Raw genomic sequence first — 26,334 nt, 5'->3', positions numbered from 1 at the left:
AGAAATAAATAAAATGAAATTGCATGTTAAACTGCTCTTCTATACGCTTACTTTTGGTTTCCCTTGTTCCTCTTTTATTTTTCATTATTATTATTATTGAGACAGAGTCTTGCTCTGTCACCCAGACTGGAGTGCTGTGGCACCATCTCGGCCCACTGCAACCTCCACCTCTCGGGTTCAAGCGATTCTCCTGTCTCAGCCTCCCGAGTAGCTGGGACTACAGGTGCGTGCCACCACACCCGGCTAATTTTTGTATTTTTAGTAGAGACGGGGTTTCACCATATTGGCCAGGCTGGTCTCGAACTCCTGACCTCATGATCCACCTGCCTCAGCCTCCTAATTTTCATTATATTTTTAATCAATAAACAATAATTGCATATGTCTCTGGGGTGCAATGTGATGTTTCTCTGTATCTTTCCTGTTGGATTCATCCTCAGCATCAGTGCAAAACCCATCATGTTTGCAGACACTTGGTTTGAAGAGATCCAACGTTCAATGGAAACGTCTATCGGACAATGAGTGAATGGCTGTGCCTTCCATATAAAAGCACGATAATGATGTGTTCTGAGTGGAGGCATGCCTCCGTGATTTTACTCCTCTCTCAGCTCGGCTGGGACTCAGATTCTTTCAGATTTACGTCTCTCTGGATTAAAAAAAAAAAAGCTGGGACCCAGATTCTCAGAGTTAAGTATAGTCTTTCTGCAAGAGGCTCTTTGTCCACATCAACAGTGAGATAATTTGCTGTCTCAGAACTGCTAGACCAGCTGAACTTTCCTTGTTTGCTTTCTTGTTAGAGTACCCATGAAAAGGCAGATTGGAGATAAAATTGATTCAAGAGAGGCCATGGATAAGAGATGTTTTGTCTCCAGTTGCATCAGAATCACAAAATATTGCAGGGGAAGGTACACAGAAGACATTTCTGTAGGTTATTCTGTGCTGAAAATGATTATGAATGACATTTGTCACTGTGGTTCATGCATATTCTTTCTGGTATGTCAACAGCAATGTGAAACCCACGAACACGGTCAACATCGTAGAGACTGGGATGCGAAGAAGGGCACAGGAGAGCACAGTGCCTTTGGAAAGCTCCCAGGTCCAATATCAACTCTACATTCCTTCAGCCTGTCTCTCTCCGATGTATCCCTCTTGTCAAGAGAGGGAAATGCAGTTAGACAGAGTCCATTTAATGTTTGCTGAGTGAGTGAAAGAATGAATGCATGATGAGTTCTTGTCTGTGGCCACGTGCCTCTCTGCCAAAGTCTATTTCTTCAAACTTAATTTCTGTCTGAACATCTCTATTCATGCTCCCTGCGGCTTTGGTATTTCAGCAAAAATCCTCCCTGGGTTCTGACTCCAGGAGACATAAACCACTCAAGTGGTCTTTAGAAATCCTTCAATGAATTTTTAAAAATTATTTGTAGAGACAGGGTCTGGCTATGTTGCCCAGGCTGGTCTCAAACTCCTGAGGCTCAAGTGCTCCTTCTACCTTGGCCTCCAAAGGTGCTGGGGTTACAGTTGTGAGCCACTGCACCTGGCTCCAATTCTGTCTTCCAGATTTACCCTCACTGATGATCCAGTCACCTGCTCACTCTCCTCTTTGGGTCATGAGAGCTGGTGACTATGCAGCCAACAGGGTACCTTCTGCAGACTTCAACAGAGTCCTGCCCTTCCATTTACATTTAACCTCATTGTTTATGGGTGGCCCCCAGGAACTCTCAGAAACAACAGTTAGAGTGGGGGGGTCCTAAGGGGAGTGGGGTGAAGTTAGACCTGAGCTTCTGAGTTATCCTTCCTCTCTTCTCCTCCGTCCCCTGCTTCTCTCACATTCCTCTCACCTTCTCTATCTCTTGACCCCCGTCCCTTCTCTCAATTCCTCTTTTTTCTCAAGCTCTGAGAATGTTCTGGCATCTTCCACCATGCAGAGAGTATGGTAGGAGGTTAGGAATTAATGGCTCTGGAACCAATGTCTCCTTCAGGTGACATGTACTTTCAATCAGCATCTCCAAGTCTGTTCATGTTCCTATGACATCAGAGAGGGAAGCAAGATTATCTGGTGACCAGCCAGTCTCCCCCTCCTCTGGGAGATGTCCAGCCTCTGCGTCCTCTCTTCTGTCTGCACCCAGGGGACCAGGTATTTGGAAGCCACACACAGAGACTCAGCTTTAGGGGGCTGGCTCCCCATCTCAAAGACATCTGGTAGCTGAGGCTGGTTGACCCATCCAATCAGTGATCTTTCAGTTGGTAGGTTTTTTGGTGGGGAAAGCGACTAACCCTATGAAGAAAAAGCACCAGATCCCCATGCTTTTCAGTCTCTCGTTCCTGACTCAGACCAGGGAACCGATCTCTGGGGGACTTTGAGCTGGGAGGAGCTGACAACGGCTGCTATTGATTTGGGGCTGAGACTTCTCCCAGTTTCTGACGAGTTTGGAACTTGTTGACTTCGGGTAGGTCCAAAGGCAATGAATGTAAGGGCTGTTTAGGCTTCTGTAGGGGGTCTTGGAGAGGTGCCTGGGGCTTTTGGTCAGGGGTGATTCCCAGGAGATGCTTCTAGGGGAAAAGGGAGAAGCAAGAACCTATAGATGGTTGTACGGCTCTGGGGACTGAGAGGTGAACTGGACAAAATGAAGATAGCAGGAGTCACTGGGCCAGCAGGTGGAGGTCAACGTCCACAAAGCAAACAGCCTTCACCAGGCGTGCTGCCAATTAAAGGGACAGCTTTGTGGAGCTCCAGAAGCATGTTGGTCTGCCACACTCCTGTCTTCTCCACTGAGATTTCTGTGGGGAAGCATGTTGTTGTGGAAAAATACCCATAACATTAATTTCATCATTTAACCTTTTCATTTGTGTACATATGTATTTATTTGTTTTAGAGATGGGGGTCTCCCTCTGTCACCCAGGCTGCAGTGCAGTGACAGAAACACCTCTCACTGCAGCCTTGACCTCCTGGGCTCAAGTGATCCTCCCACCTCAGCCTCCAGAGGAGACGGGACTACAAGCACACGCCACCGTGCCCAGCTGATTTTTTAAAATTTTTTGGTAGAGACTGGATCTGTGTTGCCCACTCTGGTCTTCAACTCCTAGGCTCAAGCAATCCTCCCACCTTGGCCTCGCAAAGAGTTGAGATTAAAAGGTGTGAGCCACTGCACCCAGCCTGTTTTCATCTTTTTTTTTTTTTTTTTTCTTTTTGAAACGGAGTCTCATTCTGTCGCCCAGGCTGGAGTGCAGTGGCGCAATCTCAGCTCACTGCAACCTTCGCCTCCCGGGTTCAAGCGATTCTTCTGCCTCAGCCTCCTGAGTAGCTAGCAATACAGGCATGCGCCACCAGAGCCAACTAATTTTTGTATTTTTAGTAGAGACGGGGTTTCACCATGTTGGCCAGACTGGTCTCGAACTCCTGACCTCATGATCCGCCTGCCTCGGCCTCCCAAAGTGCTGGGATTACAGGCGTGAGCCGCCGCGCCCGGCCCGTTTTTACCATTTTTAAGTGAACAATTCAGGCGCATTGACTACATCCACAGTGTTATGCCACCATCACTGCTATCTAGTTCCAGAACCCTGCCATCACCGCCAAAGGAAACTTCGTACCTATCAAGTAATCACTGTTCATTTTCCCTGCCCCCAGCCCTAAGCAACCATGAGTTCAATTTCTGTCTTGATGGCTTTAACTATTCTGGACATTTTATATAAATGGACTCCTACAATATGTGACCTTTTGTGTCTCTCTTTCTGCACTTAGCATAACGTCTTCAAGGTTCATTCATGTTGTAGCATGTGACTGTTTCATTCCTTTTCGTGGCTGAATAATATTCCATTGTATGGATGGAACACATGGGGTTTATCCATTTAGTATTAGATGGACATCGGACTGTTTTCACCTTTTGGCATTTTGGATATTGCTACATACATTTGTGTACAAATTTCTGTTTACACATTTGTTTTCAGTATCTTTAGGTATTAGGTAGAAGTAGGATTGCTACATCACTTGGTAATTCTGTGTTTAATTTTCTGAAGAGCCATAAAACTGCCTTCCATAGTGGCTACACCACTTTAACTTCCCACCAGCAAAGTAGGAGAATTCTAATGTTTCCACATCCTTGCCAATAATGATTCCTTTCCTTCTTTGTAAAAACAGTTATCAGAATTCTAGTGATGCTTTGAGGATTTAAACATTGCTCAGGCCTGGCACAGTGGCTCACGCCTGTAATCCCAACAACTTTGGGAGGCCGCATGGGTGGATCACCTGAGGTCAGGAGTTCAAGACCACCCTGGCCAACATGTGAAACCCCGTCTCTACTAAAAACACAAAAAATTACCCGAGTGTGGTGTCACATGCCTGTAATCCCAGCTACTTGGGAGGCTGAGGTGGGAGAATCACTTGAACCTCGGAGGCGGAGGTTGCAATGAGCCAAGATCGCACCATTGCACCCAGCCTGGGCGACAAGAGTGAAACTCCATCTCAAAAGCAAACAAACAAAAACATCGTTCAGAACTCTGGTTCTGTGCATTCAGGGGTATGGGAAACAAAGGCTCAGGTTGTCTTATTTGTAGTCCCATTATAAGAACTGAAAATACAGAACTGTGGACAGGTAGTCAAACATATTTTTCTATCTTGGTAATCTGAAATCTAAACCACTTGAAGGGCACAAACAGAATCTGCTGTCCTGGGTTTGCACAGTTAACTCTGCAGAAAAGCTATTTTGAACACAAGAAAGAGTCCATAGTCACAGACCCCACAGTTAGCAATTTGCTTATTATGCCTTTTATTTATGTATTCATTTATTTTATTTATTTATTTTTTTGAGATGGAGTTGCCCTCTTGTTGCCCAGGCTGGAGTGCAATGGTACGATCTCTGCTCACCGCAACCTCTGCCTCCCTGGTTCAAGCGATTCTCCTGTCTCAGCCTCCTGAGTAGCTGGGATTACAGGCATGTACCACCACGCCCAGCTAATTTTGTATTTTTAGTAGAGATGGGGTTTCTCCATGTTGGTCAGGCTGGTCTCGAACTCCCGACCTCAGGTGATCCGCCTGCCTTGGCCTCCCAAAGTGCTGGGATTACAGGTGTGAGCCACCGTGCCCAGCCTTATCAGCCTTTTATAATCAACTCAATGGGTGGTGCATCCATCACAAATGAAGTAAAGTGGGAGAGGCCAACAGCGAGGATATGTCTGTGCCATCATTATCCATCTGCATTATGTGACCTCCCACAGCAGGCACCAGGGGGGAAAAGAACACACACACGGACCCCCAAACACTGTAGTCTCCTTCTCCCTCTGCTGCCCCCTGGACCAGCAAGAGGAAAATACACCTTGTTGTCCACCAGAGATGAAAAAGGATCCCCAGCCAGGTGCGGTGGCTCACGCCTGTCACCCCAGAACTTTGGGAGGCTGAGGCAGGTGGATCGCTTGAAGTCAGGAGTTCAAGACCAGCCTGGCCCACATGGTGAAACCCCATCTCTACTAAAAATACAAAAATTAGCCGGGCATGGTGGCGGGCGCCTGTAATCCCAGCTACTCGGGAGGCTGAGGCAGGAGAATGACCTGAACCCGGGAGGCGGAGGTGGCAGTGAGCCAAGATCGCACCACTGCACTCCAGCCTGGGCGAGAGAGTTAGACTCCACCTCAAAACAAAAAGACAGAGAGAAAGAAGATGAGGGAGGGGGTGTGGCAGGAGTTTCCTTGAGGAGACCAGCACCATTAGTTTGTTCTCACATTGCTATAAAGAAATAACTAAGACTGGATAATTTATAAAGAAAAAAGACTCCATCTCAAAGAAAAAAAAAATGAGAAAAACCCCAAAGCTTCAGGAGACCCAGGGTATGAAACCACAGATCCACTGGGCAAGGAAGATGATGCCTCAGTATCCCAATTCTTCAGATGTTCTTCTTCTTCTTCTTCTTCTTCCTTTCTTCTTTTTTTTTTTTTTTTTTTTTTTGTTTGAGACGTAGTCTTGCTCTGTCGCCCAGGCTGGAGTGCAGTGGCATGATCTCAGCTCACTGCAACCTCCACCTCCGGGATTCAAGCGAATCTCCTGCCTCAGCCTCCCGAGTACCTGGGATTACAGGCGTGCACCACCATGGCCAGCTAATTTTTGTATTTTTAGTAGAGACGGGGTTTCACCATGTTGGCCAGGATGGTCTCAATCTCCTGACTGATCTGCCTGCCTCGGCCTCCAAAAGTACTGGGATTACAGGCGTGAGACCTGCACCCAGCCCAGACCTTCTTCTTATCAGTCACCAACTGAGCTTTCCCTGGGACCACTTCAAAAATCAGCTGTTCATGAGCCCCGGTGCCAAATGCCCGGCTTCTAAGAGATACATGAAAACCCTGATTCCTCTTTTCATGGGGAAGACGTCTCTGTCCACCCAGTGGACAGCACAAACAGCTCCTAGCACCAGAATGGCAGCGCAAGGGTAAGAGCGTGCCCAGTGGGGAGGCGGGAATGTATATACGTGCTTCCAGACAGGATGTACAAGACAAAGAATTTGAATGACTTTTTGAAACAGTCATACGGTCGCCTGTGCCAAGCCAATTCCCACTCAGGAGACAGCACTTACTCAGTGTGCTGGAACAAGCATCCCCCTGTGTGAGGAAGTGACTGCTGCCAGCAAGGGCAGCTCACTTGGCAGAGAGGAGAGGCTGGAATGAAGACTAAAGGCATTTTCAGGGTGTGGGCTCCCATCAGTGACTTCTAGAGAGGAACCCTGAACCCAGTCTGGGGTCTGGAGTGGGGGCCAAAGGGACAGAGGGGAGGCAAGAAGGGGCTCCCTGGGAGACTTGATAGATGACAGAGAACCACAGACACAGAAAAGGCAAAGCCCTGAAGCCACCATTTGAAAATCAAGGTTAGGGAGACCCAACGCAGGAGAGGATTTGGTAAAGGTCACCCAGGACAGGAGGCAGGCAGGGCTCCCTGATCAGAGCTCTCTACACCTGCATTTCTCTTTGTCCTGGTCACCAGGAGAGAGAAAAAGAGGGCCTCTGCCTGACTCAAATGAAAGATGTCTCCGTGGGTAAGGATTTAATTTTCCCCTGATGACCTAAGGAGAAAAATTCTCACTTGCATCCTCATAAATCTATCCTTCTCTTTGCATTCACCTTTGCATCTATCTACATATCTATCCAGCCACCCACATCCACCCATCCATCTATCCACTCATCCACCCATCCATGAACCTGTTTACTCATGCATCCATCCATCCAATCATCTACTTATCTACCTATCCATCTATCCATCCATCCATCCACCCATCCACCCATCTACTCATCCACCTTACCATCCATCCAACCATCCATCCATCCATCCATCCATCTATCCACCCACTCATTCATCTACTCATCCACCATACCACTCACCCATCCCTCCAATGATACATCCCCCATTCATTGACACATGTATTCAGTGATCCATCAGTCCCTCTATCCATCCACCCATCTATCTATCTATCCACCTTTCCACCTACACATCCACCCAAACACCTGTCCATCCATGTATGTGTCTATTCATCCATCAAACACTTATCCATCTCTCCATCCATCCACCTGTCTACCCATCCACTCAGCCATTCACTCATCCATCCATCCATCCATCCATCCATCCATCCATCCATCCAAATATCCATCCAAACACCCATCCATCCCTCCATTTTACCCACCAATTCACCATCCATTCATGCATCTATCCATTCGTCCACCTTTCCATCCATTTATCTATCCATCTATTCACCCATCCCTCCCTCCTTCTCACTTTCCCTCAGGTCCTGCATATGGACACCTAGACATGTCTAGACATCCATGTAGCCATGAGCCCACCTGTAACATCACTCATGCACAGCCTTGCCTGCTGTTTTGTAGCCAGATGATCACGACTATGGGTGGCAGAATATCAACAGCAGGGTGGGAAACCTGGGGCCACTGGAATTGGGCACATCTGTGAAAATGTCCCTGGATCTTTCCTTTGTGTCTCATTTCTTAGAGGACTCAGGGATTATAGCACTTGTGTTATTTATCAAGTTTCTCTACTGCTGGCCTCTGCTCAAGGGAGTTAGAAGAAACGGCAGGAGTGAGTCTCTGGAAAGCCCTTAACTCAGAGCCCCACACAGATGAAGATGCTGGTCTTGAGACCTCAAATAATAATTATTATGTGAAAATAGATCAAAGCAATATCTCTGACCTGCAAAATATTGAGAGGGGAAAATCACGTATTACATTTTCTAAAGATACAAACACTATTTTCCATTAGGCAAAACAGTCTAGAAAGCAAGGCGAAGTCTGAAGTCGACTTGAAAGAGCCAGATAAGTTGTAAGATTTATTTGCCTAAACCAGGGCCCCGGAAAACCTTGTTTATCTGTTTACACTGCTCCCCGCTATACCGGACTAGAATAATTCCCATGTACTACTTGCTGGGGGTCCAGGAAGGGAAACTGAAACTGATTCACCCCTAGGATATCAGGGCCATAATCTAGTTACAAGCATAGACTTTGAGGACAAATGTCTTGATATTTGAATTTCACTTCTGCTGTTTATTAGCAGTGCATTAGCTGAACATGTCACCAATCTGATCTTCAAGTTTCTGACTTGTAGAATGACAGCGATCATTCTTACTATAAGGTTTGGTGCAGATTTTCTGAAAGTGCTTGCAAAGCACCTGCCATGTAGAGAGGGCTCCATCAAACAGTATGGATGTTGTTATAAATTTCATTCCTGCCCCTAAAGAGGGAATTCTTGACAAGACATCCCCAGCCCCTGACTTGTGGATTGAGCCTGCTGATGTTCAGTCAGTGGTGGGAAATGAGACCTGCTAATGGGACCCTGTACCGCACCACGGTGCTGAACTGTTGGGAAGATAAAGCAAGAAGTCAGATAAAGTCTGGTAAGCCAGGTGCCTCATCATGAAAAACATCTACAAGGAGCTCTCACATACCTGGAACTAAATTCTGAACCTATGCATGAGTTGAAAAGAAAAACAGGCTGGATGCGGTGGCTCACACCTGTAATCCCAGCACTTTGGGAGGCTGATGTGAGTGGATCACAAGGTCAGGAGTTCAAGACCAGCCTTGGCCAAGATGCTGAAACCCCATCTCTACTAAAAATACAAAAATTAGCTGGGCATGGTGGTGGGCACCTGTAATCCTAGCTACTCAGGAGGCTGAGGCAGGGAACTGCTTGAACCCGGGAGACGGAGGTTGCAGTGAGCCAAGATTGTGCCACTGCACTCCAGCCTGGGCGACAGAGTGAGAATCCATCTCAAAGCAAACAAACAAAAACATGCTAGTGGAGATAACTGCATGCTCCCTGCACCCATAAAAATAAGCTATACCAGCTCATGTTTGCCCATATTTGCGCAGAAACAACAGACCTTGTTGGATCATTTAAAATGTTGCTAAGATTTCTGCATGATTTCTTCAGCCATGTAGCATTTTTTTTTCTTGGTTAGCATGTTTTCATTGGTTTTCTTTTTTAGCATTTTGAATTTATCAGCCTACTGCCTTCCGACTTCCAAAGTTTCCAATGAGAAGTCTGATGATAATCTTCTTTAGGATCCCTGGGATGGGATCAGTCACTTCTGTCTTGTGGCTTTTACTGTGCTTCAGGGTGGACTTCTGACTTCATCCTACCTGAAGTTTGCTGCCTTTCTTGGATGTTTATTTCAAATAGTTGCACTGACAGGTCTAAGAATTTCCCCTGTACCGGTGAGTGAAATGGATGAGCATGCCCACGAGAGGTCTCAGATTTTCCAACCACCCATGTGTGGGTTGTGTTCAATTTCCTCCTCCTACAACCACTTTCCTTCTTAATGAAAATGCCTGGGTCACTTCACAATGTAATCACATGACCGAATCTGGTCACACATCCTATGCTTGGCACCTGTCACATCTACTTTGCCCCCAGCCTTTGGGGTCCCTACTCCTGAGGTCCTGAACATTCATAGAGAACAGATCTCATTAAGCACAGGAGAGGGGCAGAAAGAATTTGCAAGATTAAGTGGGCCAAGTCTTGTAACACCAGTTGTAGGTAGAAGCAATAGCAGGCTCCAAAGATATCCATGTCCTGATTCCCAGAACCTGTGCAAGGGAAATGAAGGTTGCAGATGGAATGAAAGTTGCTGATCAGCTGAGCTTGAGATGAGAAGACATTACTGGATTACCCAGGTAGGACCAATGTTATCACATGGGTCTTTATCATGGAAAGAGGGAAGCAAGAGGGTCAGAGTTAGAGAGAGATTGGAAGATGCTACACTGCTGGCTTTGAAGATGGAGGGAGCAGCTACATAATAAGGCGTGTAGGCAGCCTCTAGAAGCTGGAAATGTCAAGCAAACCGTTTCTCTCCTAGAGCCTCCAGAAGGAAGCCAGCCCTGCTGACACCTTGATGGGAGCCCCAGGAAACTAATTTCAGACTTCTTACCTCCAGAACTGTAAGCAAAGAAATGTGCATTGTTTTAAGCTGCAAAGTCTGTGATGCTTTGTCCTAGAAGCAAGAGGAAACTGTTCTAACCTCCTTCGGCAGTTGAAGGAAATCAAGTCAACAGCAACTGAAGTCATTAGAGTGAGGTCTCAGATTCCCATGTGGGATTTTTTTCCTTGCTCTTGGTTTTGCTCAAGACCTAGGATCTGATTTTGGCTGGTGCAAAAGCCACCAAAGTTACTGAGATTTGGGGGAATGGGATTCAGGGCCGAGTGGGGACATAAGAAGCCCAGAGCAGAAGCTGAAGAGCCAACAGACGTCAATTTAAAACACAGCACATTCTTAGCATCGGGCGATGTGTCTGCAACTAACTGATCGGATGGTGTGTGTTTTCTGTGTCTTTTTCAATATGTTAAAGGCAAAATCACAATAGTGAGTAAGGGTGACCGCACAGCAAAACTGTTCTTCTAGACTCATCTTGCACCATAGTGGCAGCTGAAGGAATTGTGCACCACGATGCACCCCTGTGGTCAGGAAAGGCTTCTAGGATGCCTGGGAGCTGAACGAGGTGGTAAATGATGGTGTTGGAGCTGGAGAGAAGTACAGGGTAGGCATTCCAGGTGACAGGAAGGAAATAAGGAAGCCAAGCAGTGTAGTGGTGAGAAGAAGCACAGGTTCACCCATGTGTGTGGACCGCTGCTTCTTCATACCCAGGAACCCAGCCAGTCCTGGAGATGCACAGATGAGCAAACCATGGCCAGACACTCACTCCCATGTTGCTTAGCGTCTAACGAGGAAAGCGGATATTTAAACAAAATTGCCCACAGGATATAAAAGTAGTGCCGTGGTCAGAGCCGCAGTAAGGAGGTGAGGCTTCTAGATGCTTATAACATGGTCAGCTTGGGTCAGGCAGGGACACAGATATATGAACTTTTTTATTTTTTTTTAAATTTTTTTGAGACAGAGTCTCGCTCTGTCGCCTAGGCTGGAGTGCAGTGGCGCAATCTCCATTCACTGCAACCTCCGCCTCCCAGGTTCAAGTGATTCTCCTGCCTCAGCCTCCTGAGTAGCTGGGACCACAGGCACATGCCACCACATTCAGCTATTTTTTTTGTATTTTTAGTAGAGATGGGGTTTCACCGTGCTAGCCAGGATGGTCTCAATCTCCTGACCCCGTGATCCGCCCGCCTCGGCCTCGCAAAGTGCTGGGATTACAGGAGTGAGCCACTGCACCCGGCCACAGATGTGAACTTTTAAGGGCAAGTGACCATGGAGCTAACAGTGGAGCTGACAATTGAAGTATGAAGACAGCACAAGGTAGAGGCAGAAAGTTTTGTGTAGCAAGTGTGGTACGTGCAAAGGGCCTGTGGTCGATGGAACCGAGGATCCTGTGGGGCTCAGTGAGGAGGGAAAGAGGAGCTCAGGTATGGCGTGCCATGGAGGGGAACACAGTGAGGCCACAGTCAGTCCTCAACCTTGAAAATGGCCCTTTGACTGTCCTCAGGGTCTAGCCTTGCTTGCCATGTTCATTGGGTCTAGCACCCTCTGCTTGCTCCCAGACAGCTTTCTCCTGCCTCCCAGCTCTGCATCTCTCAGATCCTGGCTCTGATCCCACGCTGCTGTTGCTTCCACTCATGTACCCATTGCTAACGGCATCATTTCTTGGAGTAATTCATTGCAAAGTTCATTTCCCACGATAAACGCAGTCTGTGCTCATTACAGTCAACAGGGTGGCCCAAAAGAGTTCAGTTAAGGGAAAAAAAAATCAAATTTTCCCTTGAAAAGAAGCCAGTGATATGGCTTGGGTCCATCTTCCTGAGGTTTGAAAACTTCTCTGTTAGTGTTAGTTGCTTTTAGGCCTGGTCCTGCTGCATATACAATGTGTATCTTTCTCTCTCTCTTTTTTTTTTTTTTTTTCTTTTTTGAGATGGAGTCTCGCTCTGTCAGCCAGGCTGGAGTGCAGTGGCGTGATCTCGGCTCACTGCAACTTCCGCCTCCCAAGTTTAAGCGATTCTCGTGCCTCAGCCTCCCAAGTAGCTGGGATTACAGGTGTGTGCCACCACGCCCAGCTAGTTGTTGTTTTAAGACTGAGTCTCACTCCAGCCCGGGCTGGAGTGCAGTGGTGTGATCTTGGCTCACTGTAACCTCCACCTTCTGGGTTCAAGCAATTCTCCTGTCTCAGCTTCCCGAGTAACTGGGATTACAGGCACCCGCCACCACACCCGGCTAATTTTTGTATTTTTGGTAGAGACGGGGTTTCACTATGTTGGCCAGGCTGGTCTCGAACTCCTGACCTCAGATGATCCACCCACCTCGGCCTCCCAAAGTGCTGGGATTACAGGCAGGAGCCACTGTGCCCGGCCTATCTTTCTCTTTATATGTAGACGGTGCCCTCTCCTGGTGGGAGGCTCTCAGTGCCTGGCTCCAAATCCATGACCCTAGAGGTGGAGGGGTCCCCAGCTGCCCCACTTACTTCTCCCAAGCTGGTGCCCTTGGGAATCACCAACTTCTTGTGACCACCTGTTCTAGCTACTTGGTTCACTTTGACCCAGCCCCTCAGGGGTGACACCCTCCCTCATCAGGCTCCCAGATCCCATCAGGTGTTCAAACCCTATGTGGCAGGTACAATCCTGGTCCCCAGAGATGCCCACATCCTAATTCTTAGAACTTGTGAACTTTTAGGACAAAGAGGAATTTGCAGATAGGATTCAGGTAAGGTTCTTAAGATGGGGACATTTTTTGAATGATCTATGGAATCACAGTGGGGTCCCAGGGCTTTTATAAGGAGAGGAAGGGAGATATTTAACCGCAGAAAAAAGGGATGTGAGGATGGAAGCAGAGGTCGGAGTCATGTGCTTTGAAGATGGGGTAACGGCTAATGAGCCAAGGATGGCAGGTGGCTTGTAAAAACTAGAAAAAGTAAGAAATGAATTCTCTCCTAGAGATTCTGGAGAGACTGCAAGCCTCCCAACACCTTGATTTTAAAATAGTGAAATCCATTTCAGACTCCTGACCTACAGAAATGTAAGAAAATAAACATGTGTTGTTTTCAGTGTTGGCAGCTGACAAGTAATGAACACACTTCCTCAATTCATCCTTCTTCCTCCGCCCACTCAGGAATAAAGCTCCCTCTCTTCAAAATGGCATTTGTCTGCAGTATATGAGGAGTGTGAATACAGGTGTCATGATGTATATTTTTGTGTTTTTCTTGTTGTTTTTTTAGAGATGGGGTCTCACTATGTTGCCCAGGCTGGACTTGAATTCCTGGTCTCAAGCAATCCTCCTGCATTAACCTCCCAAAGTGCTAGGATTACAGGGATGAGCAACTGTGCTCAACCCGTATCTTTTTTGTTTTGTTTTTTTGTTTTTGAGACAGAGTCTCATTCTATCGCCCAGGCTGGAGTGCAATGGCACGACCTCAGCTCACTGCAACCTATGCCTCCTGGTTCAAGCAATTTTCCTGCTTCAGCCTCCCAAGTAGCTAGGATTACAGGTGCCCACCAGCCTGCCCAGCCAATTTTTGTATTTTTAGTAGAGACGGAGTTTCACCATGTTGCCCAGGCTGATCTCAAACTCCTGGTCTCAGGTGATCCTCCTCTCTCAGCCTCTTGAGTAACTGGGGTTGCTGACATAAGCCACTGCACCTGGCCTTTGAATCCTTTCAAGAATTAAGTCAATGGTCTGTTTCCTCAATTCTACTCACTTATTTCCCCACAGCCCTTCTCCTCCTCTTTCCCTTTTTCCACTTCCCACATGCTTCATGCCTCACACACCCTTCCTATGAGTCTCAGCATCCATGCATCCTTGCACCAAAGCGTGAGAGACACGGGGTCAGTCTTGGATGGAGAAGGAGCTCCCTTCTACACTTTCCTGAGCTCCTGGAGCTGATGTTACCGGTGCCCCATCCTCCCTTTGAATCATCTTCGCCTTCTGCCATCCCTCCCATGAAGGTCGGCCCCACCTCAAGCTATCCCCTCATATCCCTGACCTTTGCTACCATTTCTGTGCCCCCCTCCAGCCCTGTGCTCACTGCTTCTCATGCTCTATACCTGCAGTCTTTGACCGCTGCCCTTGAATTGCTGGGTTTGCTCTTTCCTGTGATCCGAAAAAGCTGAAGCACAGGGGTTTTCCTTCCTCCTCTTTGCTGTGGCGTGAACCCCCACTCCCTTGCCACGCAGGCCTGGAGGGTCTGCCCAAGTAAACCACTAGCATGATTGCATGCCAGAGTTGCATATTGTTGTGAGTCATAAAAAGATATGTGCGGCAGGCACAGTGGCTCACGTCTGTAATCCCACCACTTTGCGAGGCTGAGGCGGGCGGATCACAAGGTCAGGAGTTCGAGACCAGCCTGAGCAACATGGCAAAACCCTGTCTCTGCTAAAAATACAAAAATTAGCCAGGTGTGGTGGTGGACGCCTGTAATCCCAACTACTCAGGAGGCTGAGGCAAGAGAATCGCTTGAACCCAGGAGGTGGAGGTTTCAGTGAGCTGAAATCGTGCCATTGCACTCCAGCCTGGGTGACAGAGTGAGAGTCTGTCTCAAAAAAAGAAAAAAAAGATGTGCATGTCCTCACCCTCAAAATGTAGAAACAGGATCTTATTTAGAAATAGGTTCCTTGCAGACATACTTAAGTGAAGGATCTTGAGATGAGATCATCCCAGATTTAGGGTGGGCCCTAAATCCAATTACTAGTGTCCTTACAAGGAGATAGAGATTTGGAGACACAGAGGAGGCGGCCACGTGGAGATGGAGGCAGGGATTGGAGTGATGTGGCCACAAGCCCAGGAACACCTGGAACCCCCAGGAGCTGGGAGAGGCAGGAAGGATCCTCCCCTAGAGCCTCCAGGGTAGCGCAGCCCTGCTCACGCCTAGATCTCAGACTTCTGGTCTTTGGAACGGTGACAACGTCAATTTTCTTTGTCTGAAGTCACCCAGTGAGTGGTGACTAGCTGTGGTAACGTGATCAATTTCTCACTTCAGAAGGCATCAGAGTGACCCCGTCTGGGTCAAGGTATCCTGAGGTCTGTGTGGCATTTCTTCTAATCATACCGGTGAATGACCAGTGTCTGAAAAGCTTCCCCAGTGTGCCCTCCCTAAGATGACAATTTCTTCCCTTGCAAAATTCTCCAGAGCATCTCTTTAGTGTGGTATCCATTGTGGCATCTCCTCTTTCCAGAATTAAGATGTTTGAGCCCAAAAATGTGATCATTACTATTAGTTGTTTTTTTTTGTTGTTTGTTTTTCTGAAACAGTCTCACTCTGTTGCCATGCTGGAGTACAGCGGCGCGAGCTCGGTTCACTGCAACCTCCACCTCCTAGGTTCAAGCGCTTCTTCTGCTTCAACCTCCTGAGTAGCTGGGACTACAGGCGCCCGCCACCACACTCGGCTAATTTTTTCTATTTTTTTTTAGTAGAGACGGGATTTTGCCATGTTGGCCAGGATGGTCTCAATCTCCTGACCCCGTGATCCACCTGCCTTGGCCTCCCAAAGTGCTAGGATTACAGGCGTGAGCTACTGCACCCGGCCAGCGTTAGGCGTTTTTAATAAATAAAATTGGAGAAGCATCATTTTAGCTACAGGATACTAAGAAAAACTTCATTCTTGAGCTGAAGAAAAAAAAAAAAATACCTGGCTGGGCATGGTGGCTCAGGCCTGTAATCCCAGCACTTTTGGAGGCTGAGGCAGGCGGATCACCTGAGGTCAGTGGTTCAAGACCAGCCTGGCCGACACGGTGAAGCCCCGTCTCTACAAAAATATAATTAGTCAGGCATGATGGCAGGTGCCTGTAATCTCAGCTATTCAGGAGGCTGAGGCAGGAGAATCACTTGAACCCGGGAGGCAGAGGTTACAGTGAGCCGAGATCGTGCCACTGCACTCCAGTCTGAGGGACAGAGCGAGTCTCTATCTCAAAAACAAAACAAAACAAAACTCTTGACACTAGAACAATTGTGTTGTCAAGTAAATTAGAGGATGCTGGGACAGTGACATTCTTTCCCTCTCTCCTGGACCCTGGCAGTAAAGCACTAGAGGGGTTCACATGCACCTGAATCATGGGAAAGGTGACCCAGGGGCCGCTTTTTCACCCAAGGACATTTCCAGCCTCACAATGGCACTGTGGTTAGAACTTCATCAACAAGAGACACGCGTAACACCAAGGAATGTGGCACAATTCAGCAGTCCCGAATACAGCGGCATGAATGGTGCCTTCTAAGAGCATTCAGAGCAGCTAACGAGCAAGAGATGACGGCTGGCATTTCTCAATAAACAACTGCAGTACGTTACCCTTCGTCCATCAAGCAATATTTTTCAACATCTCCTGGTGAGAAACTTAGATAAGGCCTGATGAGAACACACATGGCAGCATAGAGTACATTCTTCCATTTGCTTCTTCTAGGCAGGGATGTTTTTCCTCTTGGAACGGACCCCAGAGTTCTAGCAGAGGCCTTGTTAAGTGGGATGGAGAATTGTTGAGAAACACTGATGACCAAGGTATGCATTTTCACATTTATATTTGTTCTCTCCGGAGCTACCAGACACCCAGTGCAACAAAACCAACCCAATTCTATGGAAAGGAAGGGAAATGTATTAGCCACACGCCTGTGGGCTCCAGGAATCTTGGCTCCGTAGCTGCCTGAATTCCAAAGTAAGAGCTGCAGTTAGGACGGGCACGGTGGCTCACGCATGTAATCGCAGCACTTTGGGAGGCCGAGGGAGGCGGATCACCTGAGGTTGGGAGTTCGAGACCAGCCTGACCAACACGGAGAAACCCCATCTCTACTAAAAATATGAAATTAGCTGGGCATGGTGGTGCATGCCTGTAATCCCAGCTATTCAGGAGGCTGAAGTGGGAGAATCGCTTGAACCCAGGAGGCGGGGGTTGCGGTGAGCCGAGATCACACCATTGCACTCCAGCCTGGGTGACAAGAGCGAAACTCCATCTCAAAAAAAAAAAAAAAACAGAGTTGCAGTCACTCGAATCTTCTGTCCTTAGTTGGTTGCATGTTTCTCCAAGTTACGTGGTTCCGTAGATGTTGAGATGTTTGTGCATCCATGTCCCCTTCGACTTTGGTCCTTTGTTTCTGACAGGGGCTGTATGGTTGACTCCAATGACCAATCATCAAATTTCCATTATGCCAAAGTTGCGTGTGCACGTGTGTGTGTGTAACTCTATGTGAGTATGTACGTGTGTATGTGGGTATCTGTGTGCATGTGCATATCCCTGTGTATGTGTGTTTGTGTATATGTGTTTGTGTATGTGTGTAGGTGTAAGTATGCATGTATGTTTGGTATGTATGTACATGTGTATCTGTGTATGTATGTGTGTATGTATTTGTGTGCATGTGTGTATATCTCTGTATGTGTTTGTGTATGTGTGTGTATAGGTGTAAGTATGAATGTATGTTTGGTATGTATGAATATGCATATCTGTGTGTACGTGTGTATATCTGCAGGCTTGTGGATATGTGTGCATGCATGTGTTATGTGTGTATATGTGTATGCACATATCTGTGTATGTTTGTATGTATACCTGTGCATGTATGTTATGTATGTGTATATCTGTATGGTTTCTGTGCATAGGTATATGTGTCTATGTGTGTGTGTCCGCATACATGTGAATGTGTGTCTGTGTATGTGTCTATATTTGTGCATGTATGTGTTTATCTGTGTATACATGTGCATGTATGTATCTGTACGGATGTAACTGTGTATATGCACGTGTATGTGTGGTATATGTGAATGTGATTGTGTATACACAAGGCTTTAAAACTTAGTGCAATAGAACCTTTGTGAAGAACCATGGGGAAACAATTGTGCTTCCTATTGGTACCAGAGAGAAAGAGGAAGAACATTTTATAAAACTCTCTTTTGTTAGTTTTCATCGTATAATGGTAGGAAGAAATATGGCATGAAGGACAGTTTTGTACATGCTGCAGTAATTTCTACCCACCCAGGAGAAACCTGGGACCACATAAATCTCAAAGATAACCAAGGAAATATCTGACTCATATTTTAGACACTGACCAAAGAAGAAAACCTTAACAATTTTATAAGCTCTTCAATGCATCTCTAGTGTATATTAATGGTTTTTATGCTTATATGCCTGATAACAAAAACTATCGTAAGAGACTGCAAAAATCTCACCCTTGCAAAGAAAAATACTTCCACGAGGACATCTGCCCAAAAACTGGCTGTCCAAACTCAGACTGGTGTCACCATGTTATTGATCTTTTTAGCCAAGGATAATCATTTGAAAAGAATTATGGAATCCTCTTCATTATTTCCTTTAAAATCCTTTTTTCCCCTTTACCTCCCTGAATATGAACACAGTTTAATATGGCACATCTATTCTCAGCGCACTACTATACTCCCAAATAAACATCTTTTCTATTACAGAGTGTATTAGTCAGTCCTTACGCTGCTATAAAGAAATACCTGAGACAGGGTAATTTTATAAAGAAAAAGAGGTTTAAATTGGCTCACGGTTCCACAGGCAGTACAGGAAGCACGGCTGGGGAGGCCTCAGGAAATTTACAATCATGGCGGAAGGCAGAGGGGAAACAGGCACATCTTACATGGCCACAGCAGGAGCAGGACGGGGTGGGGAAGTTGTTGCACCCTTTAAACAACCAGATTGGATGATAACTCACTTCCGCCACAACAGCACCATGGGGGACAGTGGTAAACCATTCAATGGAAACCACCCGCATAATGCAGTCACCTCCCACCAGGCGCCACCTCCAAACCGGGGATTCCAACTCAACCTAAGATGTGGTGGGGAACCAGATCCAAACCATCTCTTTGTTGACACCAATACTTAGGTTGACACCAATACTCTGTATCTGTTTCATCCAATTTTATTCTTTTTCATAAAAGCAATGCAGTAAAGATAAAACTAAATGTGGACCCTGGGAACAAGGAGTCCAGAGGTTGCCCAAAGAGTCGCAAAGTGCATCAGGAAACCTGAATGTGAAGATCGGTGACCGAGAGCCTGATGCCAGCCTCCTCTTGGGTCTTGACTGAAATCTTCCCAGGTTGCTATTGGATTTTGCATGTACGAGCCTCCATCAGAGGATAGACTTAGGCATATGGTTTGCCCAGTGAATTGAAGAATCTCCAGAGTTTATGAATTGAAGAGTGGGATGAATACAATACACAGAGCACCGAAGCAAACACATCAGAATCGAGGCAACTCCCCTGGGAGAAAAAATGGAAACCTTGAGCTGAATAGTTCAAAACAGGTTGTCACAAACTGGGCATCTTGGGGACCTTTTACCCCCAAGAACTGGAATCTGGAAAGATCTCTGCCTGTTTACCATGATTTATTTTTCCTGGGAGGTATAAATTCCCAGTGCCCTCCCCTCTATCGTACTGTGGAGGGTATTAGCTCAGTTTTTCAATGTTTAAACAGGTAGCACCAAAAAGCGTCTTCTCAATGCTTCCCACGCTATTCCACGTGGACGTTTGGCTTACAGTTTACTTGCATTTTACCCACTTTTTATCTGTCATCTAATATGTCAATCAATTGCCTATTAATCATCTCTCTCTCAAAATATCTTCTATCATTCATATATCTATATACCCATTTCTATCATTGATCTATCTCTGTGTATATTTATCTATCCATGTCTTCATCTATCTACCCACCTACCCTGTCTATGTACCTATGTATGTATTGGCTCTATCTATATCATGTATCTAGCCATTTATTCATTTATCCACCCATCCTGTATATATATCCATATATCTATCAGGTCTAATCTATGTATCTATATATCTATCTAATCTCTATCATCTATCAATCAATCATGTATCTAGCCATTTATTCATTTACCTACCAATCAATCAATCATGTATCTAGCCATTTATTCATTTATCTACCAATCCATCAATCCATCAATCATCAATCCATCAATCAAGCCATTTATTCATTTATCTATCCACCCACCCTGTATATATCAGGTCTAATCTATGTATCTATCTATCTATGTAATATCTATCTATCTATTTATTCATTTATCTATCCACCCACCCTGTATATATCAGGTCTAAGATATGTATCTATGTATCTGTGTAATATCTATCTATCAATCATCTATCATGAATCTATCTATCTGTATCAATGTATTTGTCTGTCTGTCTACCTATCTTTATTAACTTATTGACCACAAGTAACTTGAACAAGATAAATTCACAAATTTTCTGGGAGAAAATTTCAAGTTGATTCCAGCAGGTAGCAAACATAAAAGCTGTCTTACACCAGGAAACAGGGTTAAAGACCCAAAGGAGGAAGAACTTTTTCATCCTTTGATAAACGACCAACAAGTCTGATGGGGAAGCTGTAGCTGTACCTTCAAGTGCAAAGTGACTCAGAGAACAAGGTGCAGGTTAAAGAAGAAAACTCATAAGGTCAGAGGTGGGAGAACCAACAGAGCTCGCTTAGATGGAAACTTTTTTTTTTTTTTTTTTTTTGAGACGGAGTCTTGCTCTGTCGCCCAGGCTGGAGTGCAGTGGTGCAATCTCAGCTCACTGCAACCTCTGCCTCCAGGGTTCAAGTGATTTTCCTGCCTCAGCCTACAGAGTAGCTGGGATTACAGGTACCCGCCACCACGCCTGGCTAATTTTTGTATTTTTAGTACAGATGGGGTTTCTCCATGTTGGCCAGGCTGGTCTTGAACTCCTGACCTCAAGTGATTGACCTGCTTCAGCCTCCCAAAGTGCTGGGACTGCAGGCGTAAGCCACCGTGTCCAGCCAGATGGAAACTTTTTTTTTTTTTTTTGAGATGGAGTTTTGCTCTTGTGGCCCAGGCTGGAGTGCAATAGCACGATCTCGGCTCACCGCAACCTCCGCCTCCCAGGCTCAAGCAATTCTCCTGCCTCAGCCTCCAGAGTAGTTGGGATTACAGGCATGTGGCATCACGCCCGACTAATTTTGTATTTTTAGTAGAGATGGGGTTTCTCCATGTTAGTCAGGCTGGTCTCGAACTCCTGGCCTCAGGTGATCCACCCGCCTCGGCGCCCCAAAGTGCTGGGATTACAGGCATGAGCCACCACGACTGACCAAAACTTTTAAATCATTTAAACGAGCGCCCTGTCTGCAGCCCAATGTCCTCTGCACCTTTTCATCCTTGAAGGGTGACAGCCAAAATCCCACTCTAGGCTGACGGAATGAGGAAGCTCCATGAAATCTCTGTTTTCAAGCTGTCCCTGAGTGAAATGACCTATTTCCTTGCTTTCTTCACTGGTAGAGATGACTGGGCCAGCCAAAACCCTCCGATGCCCTCAAGCCAATGCTGAATATGAATTTTACCATTTAGTTAATATATTATTTTAGTCATTTAAAAATAAAATCCGGTCAATAGCCAGACATGCTAGCCAGAAGCAAGCTAAGGCAATGTGCCGTCTCTGTTCCGTGTGTCTTGAAAGTGTGCCTTTTTTGGATAATGAAAATCTCTACAATATTTTCTTGGGCTAATGAGAAGTGTTTATTTGTATTTTTAATATGAAAGAGAACATCTTTGCCTCTGGGAAATATTTATGAGGAACATAACTAAATGGAGACTAAGCTTTCCTTTTCATTTCCCTTCTGCGTCACAGATTCTTGTGTTTCTTCCAAGCACTAATGAAATATTTAAAGCTGTTGTCAATGCAGAAATGTTCCTCCCTAACATGTTTCAATGAGCTGGAAAAAAGCGGAGAATAATTTGCTATTGTCTACATATTCATAACATAAGGATGTCAGGAGGTATTAGAGTCACTTTCGATGTGTCTGACTCCACAGCATTGGTAATATTAGAACACTTTCAGCTTTCAAGGTGTAAATTTTTCATCTCCTCCTTTTCACTTCCTTCCATTGGTATCCAGGCCCCTTGGAGAGGTGGCTGCAGGTCACGTTTTTATATTATTTGTTTTAATTGTATTTATATTTATTTATTTTTTTGAGACCGAGTCTTGCTCTGTCGCCCAGGCTGGAGTGCAATGGTGAGATCTCAGCTCACTGCAACCTCCGCCTCCCGGGTTCAAGTGATTCCCCTGCCTCAGCCTCCTGAGTAGCTGGGACTATAGGTGTGTGCCACCATGCCTGGCTAATTTTTGTTTGTTTGTTTGTTTTTGAGACGGAATCTCGTTCTGTCGCCCAGGCTGGAGTGCAGTGGAGCCATCTCAGCTCACTGCAACCTCTGGCTCCCAAGTTCGAGCAATTCTCCTGCCTTGGCCTCCTGAGTAGCTGGGATTACAGGCGCCCGCCACCACGCCCAGTTAATTTTTTGTATTTTTACTAGAGACGGGGTTTCACCATGTTGGCCAGGATGGTCTTGATCTCCTGACCTCAGGTGATCCACCTGCCTCAGTCTCCCAAAGTGCTGAGATTACAGACGTGAGCCACCACTCCCAGCTGGTCACATTTATTTTTTAGCCAGTTTCTGTGCACCAAATAAGGGACAGCCTTCTGGAAGCATTTTAAAAGGGAGGCAGTAAAAAGCTATATGAAGTTCATTCCAAGACATATCTCCCAGATTTCTCAAAGAACTAAAAAGAGAACTACCATTTAGTTCAGCAATCCCATTCCTGGATACATACATAATGGAAAATAAATTATCCTACCAAAAAGACTCCTGCACAAGCATGTTGATCACAGTACTATTCCCCATAGCAAAGACATGGAATCAACCTAAATGCCCATCAAGGGTGAACTGGATAAAGAAAATGTGGTCCATAGACGCTGTGGGATACTACACAGCCACAGAAAAGAACAAAACCACGTCCTTTACAGTAACGTGGATGGAGCTGGAGGTTCTTATTGTAATCAAACTAATCCAGAAACAGAAAACCAAATATTGCACATTCTCATTTATAAGTGGATCTACATATTGGGTACTCATGGACACAAAGAGAGGAACAGACACTGGGGGCTCCTAGAGGGTGGAGGGAGGGATAGGGTAAGAACTGAAGAACTACCTATTGGGTGCCATGCTCACTACCCGGGTGATGGGATCGGTCATACCCCAAACCTCAGCATCACACAGTCCACCCAGGTAACAAGCCTGCATATGTTCAACAAGTCAGCAAAATAAATCATGATGAAAATAATGAAATGTTCTTAGTTTTATTTCAACCACAAATTAGAAATCAGACATTTTTCAACTATCTGCCTTGGACCTGATTCTAGGGAAAATATCCTAGGTCTGTGTTTTATAAAGATATGTGTAAATATATGTGTGTGTGTATGTATATGTGAGTGTGTATATATATATATATTACATATATGTACATAATGTGGGTATGCTTGCATATGTATATATATATGCTTGTATATGTGTATATACCTATACATATGTCTGTACATATACATATGTATACCTATACATATGTCTGTACATATACATATGTATACCTATACATACCTATACATACATGTAGAGGTATACACACATATGTATGTATATATACATATACGAGCATACACACATAAATAATCAACAGTATCTTAGTCTTCACATTGAATTTATTGTTCTGCAAATAGAATAACTGTCGATATTTTAAAATAGGACATGCATTTGCTATTATATTTCATCCATATTTTTTTAACCCCTTCTGTGTTTCAGGCAGTGTCCTAGATAGATCTGGGGATTTTGGAGTTGAACAAAACACAGTTCCTTCTTGAAACTGACATTTAGAGACCCATATCTGAGAGATAAACAAATAAAGTCAAGCATTAATAAGGCTATGAATAAATACATCAAAATGCTGAGTAAGAAATATTTATTTAAGTATTACTCATCTACTTGACAGAGAAGAAGAAAGAACATGAAAACTTGAAAGCCAACCTATCTGGTCATCAGGGAAATGCAAATCAAAACCACAATGAGATAGCCCATCATACACACTAGGATGGCTCTAATGACAAATATGGACAGTGACAAGTGTTGGCTCAGATGTGCAGAAACTGGAGCACTCTTATATTGTTTGTGGGATGGTGCAATGGTGCGGTTGCTTTGAAAAGCAGCCTGGCGGATCCTTCAATGGTTAAACATAGAGTTATCATATGACCCAGCCATTCCCCTCCTGGGTATTTACCCAAAAAATTGAAGACAGTTACTCAGACAAGTATGTACATAGAAGTCTTAACCGTATGCTAAGTGCTAAGCATTATTCATGGTAGTTACACAGTGGAAATAACCCAATGCCCAACAACAAGTGTATGGATAAACAAAATGTGGTCTACCCATACAATGGAATGTCATTCTGCCATCAAAAGGAATGAAATTCTGATGCATGGTACAAAATCGATGGACCTCGAAAATATTATGCTGAGTGAAAGAAGCCAGGCACAAAACCACATGGGAGGCCGTTTGAAATGCCCCTGATAGGCAAATCCATGGGATAGGAAGTAGATTTCTGAGTGGCTGCATAGGGCTGGAGCAGATGGCAGGATGGGGGTGATGACCCAGGGAGTGTTGCAACTATCCTTATGAACCAGGAAGTGCTACAATTATCCAGATGAACCAGGAAGTGTGGCAATGTCCCTACGAACCAGGAAGTGCTACAATTATCCCTATGAACTAGACGGTTCCAAATGTCGTTATGAACCAGGAAATACTACAATTTTCCATATGAACCAAAAAGTGTTGCAGTGTCACTATGAACCAGGAAGTGTCACAATGTCCCTCAAACTAAGAAGTGCTACAATTATCCCTATGAACCAGGAAGTATTGCAATGTCCCTGCAAACCAGGAAGTGCTACAATTATCCATATGAACCAGGAAGTGTCACAATGTCCCTATGAACCAGGAAGTGCTACAATTATCTGTATGAACCTGGAAATGTTACAATGTCCCTATGAACCAGGAAGTGCTACAATTATCCGTATGAACCAGAAAGTGTTACAATGTCCCTGCAAATTAGGAAGTTCTACAATTATCGGAATGAAAGAGGAAGTGTTACAATGTCCCTGTGAACCAGGAAGTGCTATTATCCATATGAACCAGGAAGTGCTACAATTATCTGGATGAACCAGCAAGTGTGGCAATGTCCCTATGAACCAGGAAGTGCTATTATCCATATCAATCAGGAAGTGTGGCAATGTCACTATGAACCAGAAAGTGTCACAATTTCCCTATAAACCGGGAAGTGCTACAATAATCCAGATGAACCAGGAAGTGTCACAATGATCCTAAAAACTAAGAAGTGCTACAATTATCCATATGAACCTGGAAATGTTACAATGTCCCTATGAACCAGGAAGTGTTACAATGTCCCTATGAACCAGGAAGTGCTACAATTCTCCATATGAACCAGAAAGTGTTACAATGTCCCTGCAAACTAGGAAGTTCTACAATTATTTGAATGAACCAGGAAGTGTGTAATGTCCCTGTGAACCAGGAAGTGCTACAATTATCCATATGAACCAGAAAGTGTGGCAATATCCCTATGAACCAGGAAGTGCTACAATTATCTGGATGAACCAGGAAGTGTGGCAATGTCCCTATGAACCAGGAAGTGCTACTATTATCCACACGGACCGGGAAGTGTGGCAATGTCACTATGAACCAGAAAGTGTCAAAATTTCCCTATGAACCAGGAAGTGCTACAATTATCCATATGAACCAGAAAGTGTTACAATGTCCCTGCAAACTAGGAAGTTCTACAATTATCTGAATGAACCAGGAAGTGTTGTAATGTACCTGTGAACCAGGAAGTGCTACTATTATCCATATGAACCAGGAAGTGCTACAATTATCGATATGAACCAGAAAGCGTGGCAATATCCCTATGAACCAGGAAGTGCTACAATTATCTGGATGAACCAGGAAGTGTGGCAATGTCCCTATGAACCAGGAAGTGCTACTATTATCCACATGGACCGGGAAGTGTGGCAATGTCACTATGAACCAGAAAGTGTCACAATTTCCCTATGAACCAGGAAGTGCTAC

General features: G+C 45.2%; 1 pseudogene across 2 annotated transcripts in view; it reads right to left on the bottom strand.

Moving 5' to 3' along the window:
* Positions 1–344: 344 nt before the first annotated feature.
* Positions 345–26,334, bottom strand: part of CD99P1 (CD99 molecule pseudogene 1) — a 47,965-nt pseudogene continuing 21,975 nt past the window's right edge. The window contains exon 9 of one of the 2 annotated variants that reach the window (NR_033380.1): positions 345–2,547. The product of NR_033380.1 is annotated as a CD99 molecule pseudogene 1, transcript variant 1 (transcript). Of the gene's footprint in view, positions 2,548–19,244; positions 19,601–26,334 lie in introns of those variants that run through there. The other variant, NR_033381.1, reaches the window with a different exon arrangement.

Source organism: Homo sapiens, chromosome Y (genome assembly GCF_000001405.40).
Source record: "Homo sapiens chromosome Y, GRCh38.p14 Primary Assembly".
In the NCBI taxonomy this organism is placed as follows: Eukaryota; Metazoa; Chordata; class Mammalia; order Primates; family Hominidae; genus Homo; species Homo sapiens.
Note: the sequence above shows the minus strand (reverse complement) of the source record. Positions and strands in the feature narration are given on the sequence as shown.